This window comes from Homo sapiens, chromosome 10 (assembly GCF_000001405.40).
Source record: "Homo sapiens chromosome 10, GRCh38.p14 Primary Assembly".
Classification (NCBI taxonomy): Eukaryota; Metazoa; Chordata; class Mammalia; order Primates; family Hominidae; genus Homo; species Homo sapiens.
The window spans coordinates 43,834,080-43,852,448 of record NC_000010.11 but is presented as its reverse complement, the minus strand read 5'-3'; the positions used below and the strand labels follow the sequence as shown (position 1 = coordinate 43,852,448).

At 44.7% G+C, this 18,369-nt stretch overlaps 1 long non-coding RNA gene across 1 annotated transcript, besides 2 other annotated features; it reads right to left on the bottom strand.

The window, feature by feature from the left end:
* Nucleotides 1–1,826: 1,826 nt before the first annotated feature.
* On the bottom strand, nt 1,827–7,143 carry LINC00619 (long intergenic non-protein coding RNA 619). The gene is made up of 3 exons (NR_033923.1): nt 7,042–7,143; nt 6,847–6,916; nt 1,827–2,775 (listed from the first exon to the last, which is right to left on the bottom strand). It is a non-coding gene; the product is annotated as a long intergenic non-protein coding RNA 619 (long non-coding RNA).
* Nucleotides 9,964–10,133: an enhancer, noted in NCBI's record as "experimental_12499 CRE fragment used in MPRA reporter constructs". NCBI's record gives its function as "activates a minimal promoter by MPRAs in K562 erythroleukemia cells, with activity observed for both the introgressed and non-introgressed 10:44337849 or rs76720082 variant alleles {active_cell/tissue: K562}" and the evidence as "EXISTENCE:reporter gene assay evidence [ECO:0000049][PMID:34662402]".
* Nucleotide 10,048: a transcriptional cis regulatory region, noted in NCBI's record as "Neanderthal adaptively introgressed variant 10:44337849 (GRCh37/hg19 assembly coordinates) or rs76720082 in the experimental_12499 CRE". NCBI's record gives its function as "modulates activity of the experimental_12499 enhancer by MPRAs in K562 erythroleukemia cells {active_cell/tissue: K562}" and the evidence as "EXISTENCE:reporter gene assay evidence [ECO:0000049][PMID:34662402]".

Sequence of the window (18,369 nt, the reverse complement as noted above, 5' to 3'; positions counted from 1 at the left end):
CGGGGGTCCTGGAACGAATCCCCACCCACACCAAGGGAGGACTGTATGAAGAGGAGACTTATTCAGGGAAGTGGCTCACGTGGTTGTGGAGGCTGAGAATTTCTGCAATCTGCCATCTGTCAGCTAGGAAGCAGGGAAGCCGGTGGTGACATGCAGCCTGAGCCCTAAGGCTTGAGAAAAGGGGAAGGCGGTGGCTGATGGCCTAAGTCCCGGTTTGGGTAGGGAAACCTGAGAACCAGGAGCACCAGTGCTCAAGGGCAGGAGAGGATGGATGTCTCCACTCAAGCAGGAGAGGGTAGATCCACTTTTCCTCCACCTTTTTGTTCTATTCAGGCCCTCAATGGATTGGACAATGCCTGCCTGCGCTGGTGAGGATGGGTCTTCTTATTCAGTCCACGATTCAAATGCCAGCCTCTTCCAAAACACCCACACAGACACACCGGATATAATGCACTGCCAGCCATCTGGGCATCCCTTAGGCACACCACATTGACACATAAAATTAACCATCATAATACCTAATTGTATGGATTGTATAATTGTGTAGATAAATATGGATCATGTAAGCACTAACAAAAAGAAGACAGAAGCAGTATTTCCAACGTAGAACTCAAGGTAACACATTAAATGAGAGAAGGGGATGCCACATTTACAAAAGGCATGGTCTCTTTGCCTGGAAGCCTGCCCCAGCTTTTCATGGGGCTGGCCACCTGTCCTCTGGCCTTGGCTTCAGTGCGCCCTCCCCAGGGAGACCTTCCTGACCGTCCCACAAACAGTCCCATCCCCTCCATACCTTGAAAAGGCTGCTCATTTGTTTCCTTCATAGCACCAACCGGGATTCTTTTAAATTAATACTTATTTATCTGCTTGTTTATTGTTTGTTTTGTAGCTATAATGTATGAATCATAAAGTGCAGGAGGCCACTAGATTCTTTTATCTGCCATTGTATTTCTAGTGCTTAGCACAGTGCCCAGCACACCAAAAGCATTTAATAAATATTCCTAAAATGAGCACCACTGTATAACATCACAAATCTAGGCACCCAAAAGTTCCAGAAATATCTCAATAAAATATATTTTAAATGCAGAAAAATTTAGCAAAGCTACATGAACCAGTACCAGTCCATGGCCCATTAGGAACCAGGCCACACAGAAGGAGGTGACTGGCAAGTGAGTGAGCGAAGTGTTATCTGTATTTACAGCCACTCCTCCTGGCTCACATTACCACCTGAGCTCCACCCCCTGTCAGATCAGTGGTGGCATTAGAGTCTCCTAGAAGCACGAACCCTATTGTGGTCTGTGCATGCGAGGAATCTATATTAGGTTGCACACTCCTTATGAGAATGTAATGCCTGGTGATCTGTCACTGTCTCCCATCACCCCCAGAGAGGACCATCTAGTTGTAGGAAAACAAGCTCAGAGCTCCCACTGATTTCTACATTATTGTGAGTTTTACCATCATTTCATTAATTACAGTGTAATAATAATAGAAATAGAGTGCACAATAAAGGTAATGCACTTGAATCATCCTGAAACCATCCCCTACCATCATCCATGGAAAAACTGTCTTCAACAAAACCAGTCCCTGGTGCCAAAAAGGTTGGGGACACTGAATTTCATTCAACAAACATTTACTTAATTCCTATATGAATCAGGTTCTGTTAAGTAGTTGAAGCTGAGCTGAGGACGAAATTGACAATTCTGCCTCAACAAACTTGAATCGAGATGACTCCAGGACTTGGCTAACACAACTACCATTGACTAAATATGATATATAAACATATGCACATGGCAGAGTGTGTACATATATTACTCTATTCCAACAGATAATATATATTTCATAGTATATTTTTGGAACACTGTCAAAAATTGATCATGTTTGAGGATAAAAAAGATATTAATGCTTTATCTAAAATTAAAATCCTCCATATTATTTTCTCTAAACACAATGTAATAAAACCAGACTTTAATAACAAAACAAGAGCCTACAATTCTAAGTATTTGGACATTCAAATAAATCTGGACCTACACATGGAAAACGAAATTGAATTACAATTAGTATGCCCCCTACAGAAATCTGTGGAGTTTGCTCAATGTAGTACATAGAGGAAAACTTATAGAATTAACTGATTTTTTAGAAGTCAAAATAACAAAATAATTGAATTAAGCGCTTGACACAAGGATATAGCAAAATGATAATAAAATTTAAGCCAAAATAAATAGGAAAAAATATAAACTCAAACATTAAAGAAATAAAGGGGGAAATCACAGTGGAGAAGTAAAAATAAACAGTTGGTTATTTTTAAAATAAAGATAAAACAGACAAACCTCTTTAAGTCAGGCCAAGAAAAAAAAGAAGAAAATCAAACACAAACAGCATTAGCAATAAGAAAGGAAATATAATCACAGACCCAGTGGAGACTAAATAATTACGAGAGAACCACACTCAACTCTGAACAATAAACGTGATCAGGTAAATGAACTGGGCAATTTTTTAAGAAAGCCTACAAAAACAAAATTAAGTTAAAATGAGAGAACTGAATAGACCAGAGGAACTCCATGGGCTCAGATATGCAGGTGGCACCAGGAGGTCCCCTGAGCCCAGTTCCTGGACATGGCCCTGGGACTTCTGTCCCTGCAGCCTCTGGCCACCATGTCCGGTCCTCTAATGATGCCTCTAAGAAAGGTTCTGTGTGTCCTTGCTTCTGACGAAAGCTCAGGCCGGTGCATCTGGTTCTCAGGATCTGGGTCATATGCCTTCAGTGGGAGCTGGGCTCTGCAAAATAAAGGTGGGAAAGGCCCTGCCTAAACACAGGAATGGAGTTCAGAGACTCATCACCCAAAAAAGAAACACATGACCACCACATGAACACAAAAAGTCCATATTGGAAATTAGAGTGGATTTGAATTCACATTTCAGCAACCTCATTTCAGTGCCAAGCAAGCTGTAACATAGACACTTCTCTAGCAGCTCAAGTTCAGCACCATGGAGGAGCTACTTTGAATTTTATATTTCACCCCTATCACATGCAACACTTATTTACTGAGTGCCAAATATGAGCAAGGTGTAATCTCAATGGTTTATTTACACGTGTCCACCTAGATGCCTCCTAAGGGGACCTCAAAGTCAGCAAGCCCGGAAAGTGACCGCTGATCACCAACCCTCCATTTAGGATAATAAGAACACCCACTTTGCATAGGGATTATAAAGCTTAAATGGGACTGTGAGAAGAACATGACTAGGGATAACTAAATATTCGTTATCTTTATTAGTATCCTCCTCTGCCTCCAACCTGAGCCTCCCATGACCCCTCCCTCATTATAAACTCACTTAAGCCAAGTGCAGCCTTTATCCCTGAAGACCCACCTCTCATATCACCTGCTCTGTACAGAGCAGTGGCCCCAGGAAGGGCAAGCCCTGGACTCTCTGCACTCCCAACACTGCTTCAGGCCTCCCTGACCTCTCACACCTCTGTGCTCCCCAGGCACAGAGCTCCAGCCACACTGCCCTCCTTTGGTCCTTGAACACCCCAAGCCCATTTGTGCCCCAGGAACCTTTGCGTTTTCCTGATAGTTTCTGCTCCAAATCTTTACCTGGCTGGATCCTGTTCATCCCACAAGTGCCATCCTATCTCTCCTGTCCTCTGAGAAAACTTCTCCCATCACCCTAACTGGAATGCAGCTCCTTTCCCACCCCACCCTTTACTGCCCCTCCTCATCTTATTTTCTTCATATCACTGCCTGCAATGGGTCTATCTATCCCCCCATTAGAACGTAAGCTCAATGATCTAAGATCTTAGCCCCAGGACCTCAATAAATAAATAAAAAATTAATGCATGGATAGATGAATGAATGGATGGGTGGATAGATAGGTGGATAGATGAATAGGTTAGTGAATGGATGGATGGGTGGGTGGGTGGATGGATGGATGGATTGATGGATGGATGGATGGATGGATTCACGAACCATAGGCACTTCTGTTTTAAAACTTAAAATCCGAATGACTGTCTGCTTAATATCTGTGTCCTAATAGAACATGAGTGCTGAAAGACAGAGGGTGTCCTACTGATTCCTGTCTACCTAATGCCTAAAGGTATGCCACCCAGCTTTCTGCTGACTTAATTTAATTCATTCTATGTTGCCCTAAACTCTTACTGCAATGATTCTCAAATTTACCTGTTCAGTACAGCCTCTGCTTTTCCTACTCTCTCCACTTTCCTTGTAGCAAATTAAAGATGGCCTCCTTTGTCATGTCTCCCATTGAGAAGTGGGCTCTGATTTCCTTCCCCTTGAATCTGGGCTGGTCCTGGGGATTTGCGTGGCCAATAGAATGTGGCGGAAGGGAACTACAGGACTTCTGAAGCCAGGTCATAAGGAGCCTTGCAGCTTCTGCATGGGTCTGTTGGCAGTCTCATTATTGGAATCCAGTTGCCATGATGTGAGGCACCCATGCCACATGAAGAGTCTATGTCTAAGTCTATGCATGAGTTCCAGCATCAACCTGCAGCCAGGCGAGCAAGCCATCCAGGGTGCCTAGGCCAGCTGAGCCTTCAGATGAATACAGCCCCAGTCAACATATGACTGTGACCACCCAGCCAACCACAGAACAATGGGAGATAATAAATTCTTATTAAACCACTAAGTTTCTGCATAGTTTTCTAGGCAGCAATAGCTGAAGAAATACTCTCTAATAAATACCAAAATAAAGATGTAATGAAGAATAGGCCAGTATACACAATAGAAGAGAAGGAACACTGGGAGCTAGGTGTTCTAGCCTTAACTCTGCTACCAGCTAGTTGTTTAGGATCACGTAACCTCTCTAGGTCTTTTGGGAGAGAGTATTTTAATTTAAGAGATGAGGCCAGTCATATGTAACCCTAAGTCTTTCACCCTATGTGTGCATTTTTATAATTTGCTTTTACCAAACTTTATTGTATAACTAAAGTAAATAATTTAATTCAGATTTAATTCAGATGTTCTCGTAGTATGAGTAAGGAAGTAAAAAATAAGTGCTACCAGCATCACAATTTTGCCTTGGGTTGGTCCAGTTTAAGAAGCAAAGAAAAAAGTGGGACACCAGAGAACAGAGCTGGAGGGCGTCTTCAAGAGTAAAGACTCCAGCCTGCTGTAGAGACCCAATCAAGAAAATGAGTTGCCAGTAATTAAAATGTGCCTGTTAGAAATAGGACGGTGACCCAGGGTCAATGACAGGAAGGGTTTGGGGGTTGCATTGTTTTGCTTTGTTTTGTTTTTCTTCTGAGTTTAAATGAAGGGTTTGATGATGTTGGCAAGTTGCTTGCTTCACAAGGAGAGGGTCAGAACTCAATGAGGGCTTCCAGCTCAGATATCATCTTTCCAGGATTTTGAGCTCTTCCCTTTGTTTCTAAAGCAGAAATGTGATCACATGGCTCCCCTGCTGAAAACTTTATCGTGCTCCTATTGTCTGCAGCAAAAGGAACAATTCGAATTTCTCCATCTGGCCCCTCCTGCTTCCTCACCACCCACCCACCCAGCCCCCACGCCCCCCACGCCCCCCACGCCCCGACACATTGAGCACCAGTCCTTACTGAGGTGTCTTGTCCTTCTCCCTCGGGATGCTCATCTCCCAGATGGAGAACCAGGTAAAGATATGCTTCTGTCTTACCCCTGGCCCACATCCTGTTGAAGTTCCCTGACTGCAGCTACAGCAACTTTGATTTTGGAAATGATTTGAGAGCAGCTTGCTGTAAAAGCGCTCTACTTTGGGCTGGCAGCTGGACTTTACCTTCACCATTTGCCATGCAGGTGAGCCTTGGACTTAGCTGGTTCTTGGTGTGCTTGCCACAGACTTGGTGACGCCCCATCCCTCCGCTGACAACCGGAAATTCTTCACTTCCTGCCTGGTGCTTCCCAGCGCGCCCTGCTGCCAGGAGAACGGCGGCAGGCAGGCGTCTTTTCAGGATGCCCTTCCAGCTGCCCGAGGGCCCCGCTCCTCCTCTGCCCTTAGCATCAGGGACACGTCCACTCCCTCCCAAGCCTCTGCAAATGCTCCCTGCTCTAGGAATGAGGTGGAGCAAACAGCACTTAGCACAAAGGCCAACCTTCCACAAGGAGTAGCTGTTTTTACATCATTTCCTCATCCACTTTTACAATTACATGAATAATTCTTAAATAAGTAATATATACACATGACAAAATCAAAGGCACAAGAGGTCAAATCAAAGGTCAAGAGGCACATCATTCAGTTTCTGACTCCACATCTGTTTTATCTGGCATGCTAGTGTGTGGCATGCATAGCACTCATTCCTGGGTTTTTTTAAATACTCAAATAAATTTTATTTTCTCTTTAGTTTGCCGAATAAATTCAGCACATCTTTCTTGGCATTGCAAATCACGTATTCCTGATGTGGACAGTCCCAGTTCTAAGAACTATGGAAGCTTATTATGTTTTTTTTTAAGCTGAAAATATTCTGATTTTTAAATGTCAAAAAACACAAATGTATAAAAGGTTTATGATGAAAGTCCCAGTCCTATCTTTAGCACTGGGTTGCCCAATTACCCAAGACCCTCCACTGGGAGGCAAATATAATTTTTAAAATATTTTTTAATATTTTGCTATTAATAAACTAAGATAGCCACCTGTAGCTGACCATGTCCTCCTTTTGCCACTGCAATGTCAAAATGCCCACTTCTGTTTTGGCACTAAGATAATACAGTTCTGATTTTCTGCATGAGTCTCCTCCGCCATACTGCAGGCACCTTGACCGCAGGGAACACTAAGGCATCAACAGATGTCTCTGGGACGATGTTGACAGAGCCGTTCCCCCACAGAACTTAATAATCAATGAGACCGATAAACTGCACATACCTGTGGAACTTTGGGGAGCCAAGGGTCAGAATCCACCATACCCACATCTCTTCTTCCACATCTCTTCTTCCTGTTTCCAGAGCAGCAACCAAGGCTCATACCAGCCTCTCACCCACTTCAGACACACCCCTTGCCCTCACCTGTGGGGCAGGTTTCCCAGGCTCTGGGGCCACTGCCCGTCTGGACAGGAAGTACCTGGAGGAGAGGTCCGGGGGTGGAATGCTTTGGCCAGAGGAGCAGGCTGGCTCCACGCTTGTCTGCTGGGGGCGGGATGATTCCTTTGGACTCATGGCATCTGGCCTCTCTGGCAGCAGATTCTCCCTTTTCTAAGCCTGCCCTACCCCCTCATGATTCTCTGGATTTCTCACGTTGCACCTGCCTCAGACCACAGGCCACTTAATGACCTCAGAGACTAAGTAACCACCATGCCAACTAAAATGTGACCTGCATGCCCCTCCCTTGGTTATGATTTAGGTTTTACACCACAATCCCTTCTAGTTATTTGGTTTCTTTTTTTGTTTTGTTTTTCCCATGCCTTTCAAATGTAAGCCTTGGGAGGAAGGAATTCTTGTCCCTTCTGTTCACTGTGATATTCTTCCGAACAGTGTTCACTGGATAGAAGGCCTTCAATAAATAGTACTCAAATAAATAAATGACTACATAAATTGTCAAGATACAATCTTCCAGGAACTGTACTAATGGCTGGAAAACAGAAGTGGGGGGAAAAGAAAAAGAGGCCTCACCCTCAGGGAACTAACAATCTTCTGGAGAAAAAAAAATGGGCTAATATGTATACATGTGGATATATAATTTAAAATTAAGGATGTTAGGAAGGATAATTCTGTTGTTTCTACCCCACAGGGCAAGGTTGTTAGTTTTTGTTTTGCTTTGTTTTGTCATGCTGTATTAACTGTGAAAGTGTATCCTCCACCTCCTGAGAATCAATCACTTCTTGGTATTCTCAATCACTCCACTATAATTATAATCCGGATTTTCAGAGTCAGAAATTCCTGTTTCTAGCCTTTGTTCTGATGTGGAGCAGGATCTCCCTGAGTTGCTTCACTGGAGACTACAAGCCTGCAGACACAGGGCCCCCTCCTCCTGTGGACACCCTTCAGCCTCACAGACTGGCAGCACTTGCAAACCCTCGAGAATGTCATCATCTACCCGCCTGGTACAGCAGCCTCTGTGAGAGGTGGGCCCCTTGGCTCCTTCCCTTCATGGAATTCTGTGAGTTTTTTATGACTAAAAAAGGAATTCACAAGTCCACCTCGCAATGGTGAGATGCAGATGGTTTTTGAACATAGAGCCCCAAGTCACCAACTTTTCATCATTATTGCCAGCCCAAACCTAAATCAACATTCAGTTGCTTTTATAAGAAGTAGGTGAAAGATCTTGAGGGAAAAAAGTCATGGAACACTTGAAGATTACACTGGATGAAGAGAATTATCTTTATTGAACCCAGATCTAAAAAGCAGGGCTCACTCAGGAAGAATTCCATCCACAGGCCAGCACATTTGCTCTGGAGTGGAGCACCCAGAACTGCACGATGTATGGAACTGACAGGTTCTGTCTTTCCACCTCTTTCTTTGGCAGGCCCGGATCTGTTTTTCATTGTCTTCGCCACATGTTTTCTCCTTGGTGTATGTTGCAATTTTTGACTTGTAGAGCATCAAAAAGAAACAAAGCAAACCTCCAAGAACAGCAGAATTTGGCCAGAGCCAAAAGCAACTCAGAATTTGAACTGAACTTGCTCAAAGCAGGGCAAGAAGACAGAGGCTTACGAAAATGCCTTTTGTTTGAACCAAAGACTGGAGCCAAAGAATCTGTGTCCAGAAGCTCTTGTGCATGGATGAGCCTCCGATCCCAACCTTCAAGAAGCCAGCTGGACAAGGAGAGGCTGGCAGCTGTGTCCCAGAGAGCTGAAGCCACAAACCCATCCCGCTTTGGCACTGAAGTTCGAGCCCCATGGAGCTTGGAGAGTTCTAACAGATTCCACCCCCACGGCAGTGGATCTATCCCCGGGTTTAGGGTGATGTGCATTCCAGGCACACTGTGTCCATTAACTCAGTGACACATTCTAATATTCTACTGATTGCATCAGCCCTTGTCTCAATTACCCAAAGATGCTGTGACTGTAGGACTCCAGATTTACATTATAGAAGCTTCCCCTACCACAGGCCCAGCCCCCAGCATCCAGCTTGAGACACATGTGACTCATGCCACAGAAGGCTTCTGTGTGTCTGGCCCCCACATCTTCCAGGGCTAGCCCCTGTCCTGACTTCTGACAGCACAGATCAATCCAGGAAGGACCACTCAGAACACAATCACCTTGTTATTATACGTGCAGTCAGTAAGTGAGCATGCTGTCCATCCTATCCCCCAACGTTTCATTCATATCTCCATTTAGAGGCAGTGGAGCTAAGAGACACAAGTCCCATTGCCAGGGTTTGATTCTGGCCCAGCCATTGCTTACCCCCATGAGGCTTCTGTTTCCTCATCTTTAAAATGAAGGCAAAAATGTCAGATTACCCCAAGGAGTAAATAAGATAACGTGTGGGACATATAACACGAACAGCTCCCCCAGCCCATAAGAAGCAGTCCAAGTCCCTTCCCCTTCCTCCTTCCTTCTTTCCTCCATTCATTCCTGCTGCTCTTCCTTTTTTTCTTACACTAATTCATTCTTTCTGTTCGTCTTCCTCAGCAGTGTCTCCTGGAAGAAGTTCTGGCCTTGGCAGCCACTGGCACAGCCACTTTCCATGAGGACGGGCCCTGGCAGCTCTGGGGCTCTTGCCCTCCCCGGTTCTCACACCATATGCAGGGAACCACTCACGGGGCAGCCCCAGAACCCAGTGGTGGCAAGGTCTGTGGCTCCCACCTGCCCTGTCCTGATCCTTCGCATGAGGCTGCTCTAGCTCCAGACTCCTCCCTCTCGATGCCCTGCCCAACCCCCGTGCTTCCTTCTGCAGCAAACGGCACCACCAGCTCCCACGTTCCCTGGCATTTCCGCCCCCAGCCTGGCCATCAATCCATTTCCTGATCCTTCCATGTTCCTTGCTTTTGGATTTCTAAAACATGCCCATTTCCACAGCCTTCATTCATTCCAACATTTTTCCTCTTGTATTACAATGGTCCCCTCATCACAGATGCTGTCTCTCCAATCTGGGTTCTCAAAAGTGCGTTTCTCAGGTCAGATCCAGCCCCTCCTACTCCTCCAGCCCCATTGCCCATCCCCTGACCCCCCAGGGAGCCCCCGAGTGCACCATCTCCCTCCTACCTGGCGCCTCAGCTCACACCCTCTTCACCTCCCACTGTGGCCTAGATCACGGTCCCCTGGACTCCAAGCCATTATTTGGCAGCAAGTCCTCCTGCCACGGGCCAGTGTGCTCAGTGAAAGGGGCATAGTCACATACAGTCTGTGCTCCTGGGAATATCCTGGTTTGCACTGAAGACAGCAGTGGCAAGGCAGTGCCTGTTTCCCAGGATCCTCCCTGCCTGCGCTGCACATGCAAAGCTGTTACAGTCTCACATTAGGCAGGGTGGAGGCACACTGGGACACTGAAAAACACGTGGAACAGTCCTCACTACCTGGAGTCCAAGGTCTGGCATTGAGAGCTCACCAGCAGTGGTGGTGCAAAGGTTTCAGGTGGCACCCATGGGTACAGCTGTCTTCTTAGTCCAAAGCATCCCTCACCGGGGGGCTTAGCCACAGCAGCCTCCATTAAGAGATTCGCATGTTCTGGACGCTTCAGTGGGGGATTAGAGAGAAACACCTTCACCCCTGTGCAGCTCAATCAGGCTGAGGCTGGATGGGCTGGGAGCTCACTGCTGGACACTAAAGTGGTATGTTTCCAGCCTTGGGGTCACTGTCTGACCTGTGAACAGTCCTGTTACAGGTCATTGAGCAGCCTGTTGTCCACCTCTCTGAGCAGCCTGTTGTCCACCTCTCTGACCAGCCTGTGAAGTGCACAGCCTCCAGACAGTGTGCTCTGAACAGGAGGCTCTGCAGCCCCTCTCTCACACACCAGAGCCACCAAAAGGGATTTCATAATTGTCGTAACATTGCCCCACATAGAACTAAAAAGAGACTGTGTGGCCAGGCACGGTGGTTCACGCCTGTAATTCCCAGCACTTTGGGAGGCTGAGGCACGTGGATCTCTTGAGGTCAGGAGTTCAAGACCAGCCTAGCCAACGTGGTGAAACCATCTCTACTAAAAATACAAAAATTAGCCAGGCGTGGTGGCGCACTCCTGTAATCCCAGCTACTCGAGAGGCTGAGGCAGGAGAGTTACTTGAGCTTTGGAGGCAGAGGTGGCAGTGAGCTGAGATTGTGCCACAGTGCTCCAGCCTGGGCAACAGAGTGAGCCTCTGGCTCAAAAGAGAGAGAGAGAGAGAGAGAGAGAGAGAGAGAGAGAGAGAGAGAGAGAGACTGTGTGCCTACCATATTACTAGGACAAAAAAGAAAACGCAAAGAAACTATAGACCATTTAGCAAAATGTGGAAAATACAAATAACCACTGGAAGAAATATAAAATGGAGCATAAGAGGATGAGAGTAAGAGCAAGTACCTCTGCCATAAAAATATATGTAAATAAGATAAATGCAACTGGAGTAAAAATTACTATGTGCTGCATAAATGAGAGTTTCCCAGCAAAGTAACCAGGAAGGTGAACAGATAGGGACAGTGCAGAGACCCACGTGGACAGAAATGGGAAGAAAGCAGGGGCTTCCATGACAATATCACAAAGCTAATTGGCTTTAAAGTGTTAAAAGGCATTAAAATTCCATATTATAACAATGAAACACATAATCTATAATAAACATGTGTCTGTCATAATCCTCTATGTGCCAAATTATCCACCATTAAGTATCAAGCAGAAATTGCTAAATGGAAGAGAACGCCTCCTTATAGATGTCCTCATTATCAAAAATATCTCTTGTCTTGTTCAGGTTTTGTTAATAATACTTATAAGTACATGAAATTACAACATTTATGTTTGCCTGGTACTATGGTTTGAATCTTTGTCCTCTCAAAAACTCATTTTGAAATTTCATTGCCATTATAACCGTTTTAAGAGGTGAGAGCTTTAAGAGGTGATTAGGCCATTAGGGCTCTGCCTTCATGAATGAATTAATGCTGTTATCATGGAATTGGGTTTGTTAGACAGGGGTGTGTTTCAAAGAAAGAAACTACAGACACTGGGGTCTACTTGAGGGTGGAGGGTGGGAGGAGGGAGAGGTGCAGAAAAGACAACTATTGGGTTCTGGGCTTAATACCAGGGTGATGTAATAATCTGTACAACATTAAGGGATTTTCATGCTCTGGGCGCTTCAGTGGGGAATCAGAGAGAAATACCTTCACCCCTGTGCAGCTCAATCAGGTTGGGGCTGGATGGGCTGAGAGCTCACTGCTGGACACTAAATTGGTGTGTTGCCAGGCTCAGGGTCACTGTCTGACCTATTGGCATCCCTGTTACAGGTCATTGAGCAGCCCGTTGTCCACCTCTCTGACCAGCCTGTGAAGTGCACAGCCTCCAGAAAGTGTGCTCTGAGCAGGAGGCTCTGCAGCCCCTCCCTCACACACCAGAGCCCCCAAAACGAATTTCATGATTGTGCTAATGTTTCACCACAAAGAACTAAAAGGAGACTGTGATGTGAGTATACCTATGTAACAAACCTTCACATGTTCCCCTGAACCAAAAATAAAAGTTTCAAAAAAAGAAAGGGGTGTGTTTGCCCTCTCTTCTCTCTCTTTCTCTCACCCTCTCTCACCTTCCTCACCGTCTCCCTTCTGCCTTGGGATAATACAGCAAGAAGACTGGCCCTTGAAAGATGCTGACACCTGATATTGGACTTCTCAGCCTCCATAACTGTGAGCCAGTGAATTTCTGTTCATTATAAATCACTCAGTCTCAAGTATTTTGTTATAGTAGCACAAATGGACTTAGACAGAAAATTGGTAACAAGAAGTGGTGGTTGTGCCATAACAGACACCTGAAAATGTAGAAGCAGCTTTGAAACTGGGCAATGGGTAGAGTCTGGAAGAGTTTGGAGAAGCTGACTGGAAATAGCTTGTATTGCCATGAAAGGAGCATTAAGAGCAACTCTGGGGAGGAGTCAGAGGAAGAAAGGGGCTGTAGGGAAAGTCTGAATCTTCCTAGAGATTACTAAGTGGTCATGATCAGAATGTTGGTAGAAATAAGGACAGTCAAGGCAATTCTGATGAGGTCTCAAGTTGAAATGAGAGAAAAGGTACCGGACACTAAAGTAAAGCCCACCTTGTTACAAAGTGGCAAAGATCTTAGCTAAATTGTGTCCACCCCAAGTGCTTTGTGAAAGGCAGAATATAAGAGAAATGAACTAGAATACCTGGTCAAAGAAATATCTAAGCAACGAAGTATTCAGGATGCTGTGGGGCTTCTCATAACTGCGTATACTAAATTTTGAGAAGAGAAAAATTATTTAAAGACAAAATTGTATAATTAAAAGAAAAACACAGTTTAGGGATTTGAAGGATTCTCAGCCTGGCCATGTGATAGAGGATGAAAGAGTATTTTCAGGAGAGGAAACCAATGGTGCAGCCAACTCACCATTTGATAAGGAGACTCATGTGGATAGAAGGAAGCCAGAGGCTGTTCGTCAATGACCCCCAAGGCACTTCAGACATTATTGGTGACATCCCTCCCACCACAGGTCCAGAGTGCCAGATCCTTCCTGGGGACGGACATATGTCAAAAGAGAGGCCTAGGGCACCCTCCAGACTTTGGGCTGCACTGCCCAGGGCTGCCTCAAGTCTCTGCTTCCCAATTCCAGTACAGTGCTCCTCAGCCGCCCCAGCCATGGCTCAAATAGACCAGGTACAGCTTGGCCCGCTGCTTCAGAAGGTACATGCCATAAACCCTAGCAGCATCCATGTGATGCTGATTCTGCAGGTGCACATGATGCAAGAGCTGAGAAGGCATGGGTGCCTCCACATAGATTTCAAAGGATGTCACAGGCAGAGACTTAACACAGGAGTGAAGTCATTGCAGAGAGCCTCCACTCGGGCAATGCCCAGGAGAAGTGTGAGGACAGAGCTGCTGCAGAGAGTCCCCACTAGGCCTAATGGAGCCATGGGGGCAAGGTCACCTCCAAGACCCCAGAACTGTAGAGCCGCCAGCATGCAACACCAGCCTAGGCGAACTGCAGGTACAAGATTACAACCCGAGAGAGCTGCTTTTGGGGCTGAGTCCAGTAAAGTCATAGGGCTGGAGCTCCTCAAGGCCTTGGGTGCCCAATCCCCACCACAGTGTGTCCGAAAGGTGGCATATGAAGTCAAAGATTATTCTGAAGTCTTAGATTTAATGCTGTTCACTCTGTTGGGTTTTGAACTTCTTTGAGATCAGTTACCCCTTTCTTCTTTCCTATTACTCCCTTTTGGAATAGGAATGTCTATCCTATACCTGTTCCACCATTGTATTTTGGAAGCACGTACTTGTTTAATTTCATAGGCTTACAGATGGAGAAGAATTTGCCTCAGGATAAATCATGCCTTGAGTCTTGCTCATGTCTAATTTTGATGAGACTCTGGATTTTGAACTTTTGAGTTGATACAGGAATGAGTTAAGACTTTGGGGGCCACTGAGATAGAATGAATGTCTTTTGTATGTGAGAACAACATGAATTTTGGGACACCAGGAACATAATTCTATGGTTTGAATATGTGTCCCCTCCAAAACTCATGATTAAATTTTAATTGCAATGGTATTAAGATGTTTAACTTCAAAGATTAAGCCATGAGGGTTCTGCCTTCATGAACAGATTAATGTCCTTATTTACAGGAGTGAATTCCTTATAAAAGGGTGACTTTGTCCACTTTCTCTCTCTCTCTCTTTCTCTCTCCCATTCACCTTCCACCATGGGATGATACAGCAAAAAGGCCCTCAACAGATGCCAGTGCCTTGATATTGGATTTAGCCTCCAGAACTGTGAGCCAATACATTTATGTTCATTATAAATTGCCCAGTCTCAAGTATTTTTTTACAGCAACGCAAAATGGACTAAGTCACTTGGTCATTGTCTATCTCTCCCCAACTAGACAAAAATCCCACACAATTCCAAAGACCTACAATAATAACTGTATGTTAAGCATTCAATACTTATTTATGAAATGAGTCAATGAATAAATAACAAAATGAGAAAACAATCCCCAAATTAGAAATCAGAAAAGAAAATTTATTCCAAACACAAAGGACACTAAAGCAATTGTAAGGGACTATTATGTTCGACCATCTGGTAATAAGAAAACTTGAATAAAATCAAAATTTTTTCCTGGGAAAACATAAATTACCAGTATTAACTGAAATATAGGCTTAAAAAAAGTATTCATATTTGGCTGGCCATAGAGAAATAGATCCATCTCTCTATATGTGTGTGTGTATATATATATATAGATACATATATATATATACACACACACATATATACACACACACGTATATATATATCTATATATATATACACACACACTCATATACACATATATATATGGCCAGCCAAATATATATCATTGCATATTTTATATTATTAATTAGAAAAATATGATTATAGAGGTGGTTGGCAAGATGGCCAAATAGGAACATCTCTGGTCTGCAGCTCCCAGAGAGATCAACATGGAAGGCGGGTGATTTCTGCATTTCTAACCGAGGAATCCGGCTCGTCTCATTGGGACTGGTTAGACACTGGGTGCAGCCCACAGAGAGCAAGCCAAAGCAGGGTGGGGCATTGCCTCACCCGGGAAGCACAAGGGGTGCTCCCTCCCCTAGCCAAGGGAAGCCACGAGGGATTGTGCTATGAGGAATGGTGCACTCCAGCCCAGATACTATGCTTTTCCCACAGTCTTCACAACCTGCAGACCCGGAGATTCCCTTGGGGGCCTATACCACCAGGGCCCTGGGTTTCAAGCACAACTTGGTGGCCATTTGGGCAGACGCTGAGCTAGCTGCAGGAGTTTTTTTTCATACCCCAGTGGCACCTGGAATGCCAGTGAGACAGAACTGTTCACTACCCTGGAAAGAGGACTGAAGCCAGGGAGCCAAGTGGTCTAGCTCAGCAAATCCCATCCCCACAGAGCCCAGCAAGCTAAGATCCACTGGCTTGAAATTCCCGCTGCCAGCACAGCAGTCTGAAGTTGATCTGGGATGCTTGAGCTTGGTGGGGGAAGGGGCGTTCACCATTACTGAGGCTTGAGTAGGCAGTTTTCCCCTCATAAAGCCACAGGGAAGTTCAAACTAGGCAGAGCCCACCACAGCTCTGCAAAGCCACTGCAGCCAGACTGCCTCTCTAGATTCCTCCTCTCTGGGCAGTGCATCTCTGAGAGGAAGGCAGCAGTCACAGTCAGGGGCTTATCAATAAAACTCCCATCTCCCTGGGACAGAGCACCTGGAGGAAGGGGCAGCTGTGAGCACAGCTTCAGCAGACTTAAACGTTCCTGCCTGCCAGCTCTGAAGAGAGCAGCGAATCTCCCAGCACAGCACTCGAGCTCTGCTAAGGGACAGACTGCCTCCTCAAGTGAGTACCTAACCTGTGCTTCCTGACTGAGAGACACCTCCCAGCAGGGGTCGATAGACACCTCATACAGGAGAGCTCCAGCTGGCATCTAGCAGGTGCCCCTCCAGGACGAATCCTCCAGAAGAAGGAACAGGAAGCAATCTTTGCTGTTCTGTAGCCTCTGCTGGTGAAACCCATGCAAACAGAGTCTGGAGTGGACCTCCAGCAAACTCAAGCAGACCTAAAGCAGAGGGGCCTGACATTTTTCCTTCTAACAAAGGAAAACTAACAAACAGAAAGGAATAACATCAACATCAACAAAAAGGACATTCACACAAAAACCCCATCCAAAGGTCACCAAAATCAAAGAACAAAGGTAGATAAATACATGAAGATGAGGAAAAACCAGCACAAAAAGTCTGAAAATTCCAAAAACCAGAACTCCTATTCTCCTTCAAAGGATCACAACTCCTCACCAGCAAGAGAACAAAACTGGACGGAGAATGAGTTTGATGAATTGACAGAAGTAGGCTTCCTCTGAGCTAAAGGAATATGTTCTAAACCAATGCAAGGAAGCTAAGAAACTTGAAAAAAGGTTAGAGACATTGCTAACTAGAAAAACTAGTTTAGAGAAGAACATAAATGACCTGATGGAGCTGAAAAACAGAGCACAAGAACTTCGTGAAGCATACACAAGTATCAATAGCAGAATCGATCAAGCAGAAGAAAGGATATCAGAGACTGAAGATCAACTTAATGAAATAAAGCTTGAAGACAAGATTAGAGATAAAAGAATGAGAAGGAATGAACAAAGCCTCCAAGAAATATGGAACTATGTGAAAAGACCAAACCTAGGTTTGATTGGTGTACTTGAAAGTGACAGGGAGAATGGAATCAAGTTGGAAAACACTCTTCAGGATATTATCCAGGAGAACTTCCCCAACCTAGCAAGGCAGGCCAACATTCAAATCAGGAAATACAGAGAACACCACGAAGATACTGCTTGTGAAGAGTAACCCCAAGACACATAATTGTCAGATTAACCAAGGTTGAAATGAAGGAAAAAATGTTAAGGGCAGCCAGAGAGAAAGGTCAAGTTACTCACAAAGGGAAACCAATCAGACTAACAGCAGATCTTTTGGCAGAAACTCCACAAGCCAGAAGAGAGTGGGGGCCAATATTCAACATTCTTAAAGAAAACAATTTTCAACGCAGAATTTCATTTCCAGCCAAACTAAGCTTCATAGATGAAGGAGAAATAAAATCCTTTACAGACAAACAAATGTTGAGAGATTTTGTAACCACCAGGCCTGCCTTACAAGAGCTCCTGAAGGAAGCACTAAACACGTAAAGGAACGACTGGTACCAACCACTGCAAAAACAAATTGTAAAGACCACTGACACTATAAAGAAACTGCATCAACTAACGGACAAAATAACCAGCTAGCATCATAATGACAGGATCCAATTCACACATAACAATATTAACCTTAAATGTAAATGGGCTAAATGCTGCAATTAAAAGACACAGACTGGCAAACTGGATAAAGTGTCAAGACCCATTGGTGTGCTGTATTCAGAAGACCCATCTCACTTACAAAGATACACATAGGCTCAAAATAAAGGGATGGATGAATATTTACCAAGCAAATGGAAAGCAAAAAAAAAAGCATGGGTTGCAATCCTAGTCTCTGATAAAACAGACTTTAAACCAACAAAGATCAAAAAAGACAAAGAAGGGCATTACATAATAGTAAAGGGATCAATGCAACAAGAAGAGCTAACTATCCTAAATATATATGCACCCAATGCAGGAGCACCCAGATTCATAAAGCAAGTTCTTAGAGACCTACAAAGAGACTTAGACTCCCACAAAATAATAGTGGGAGACTTTACCACCCCACTATCAATATTAGACAGAGCAACGAGATAGAAAATTAACAAAGATATTCAGGACTTGCACTCAGCTCTGGACCAAGTGGACCTAACAGACAT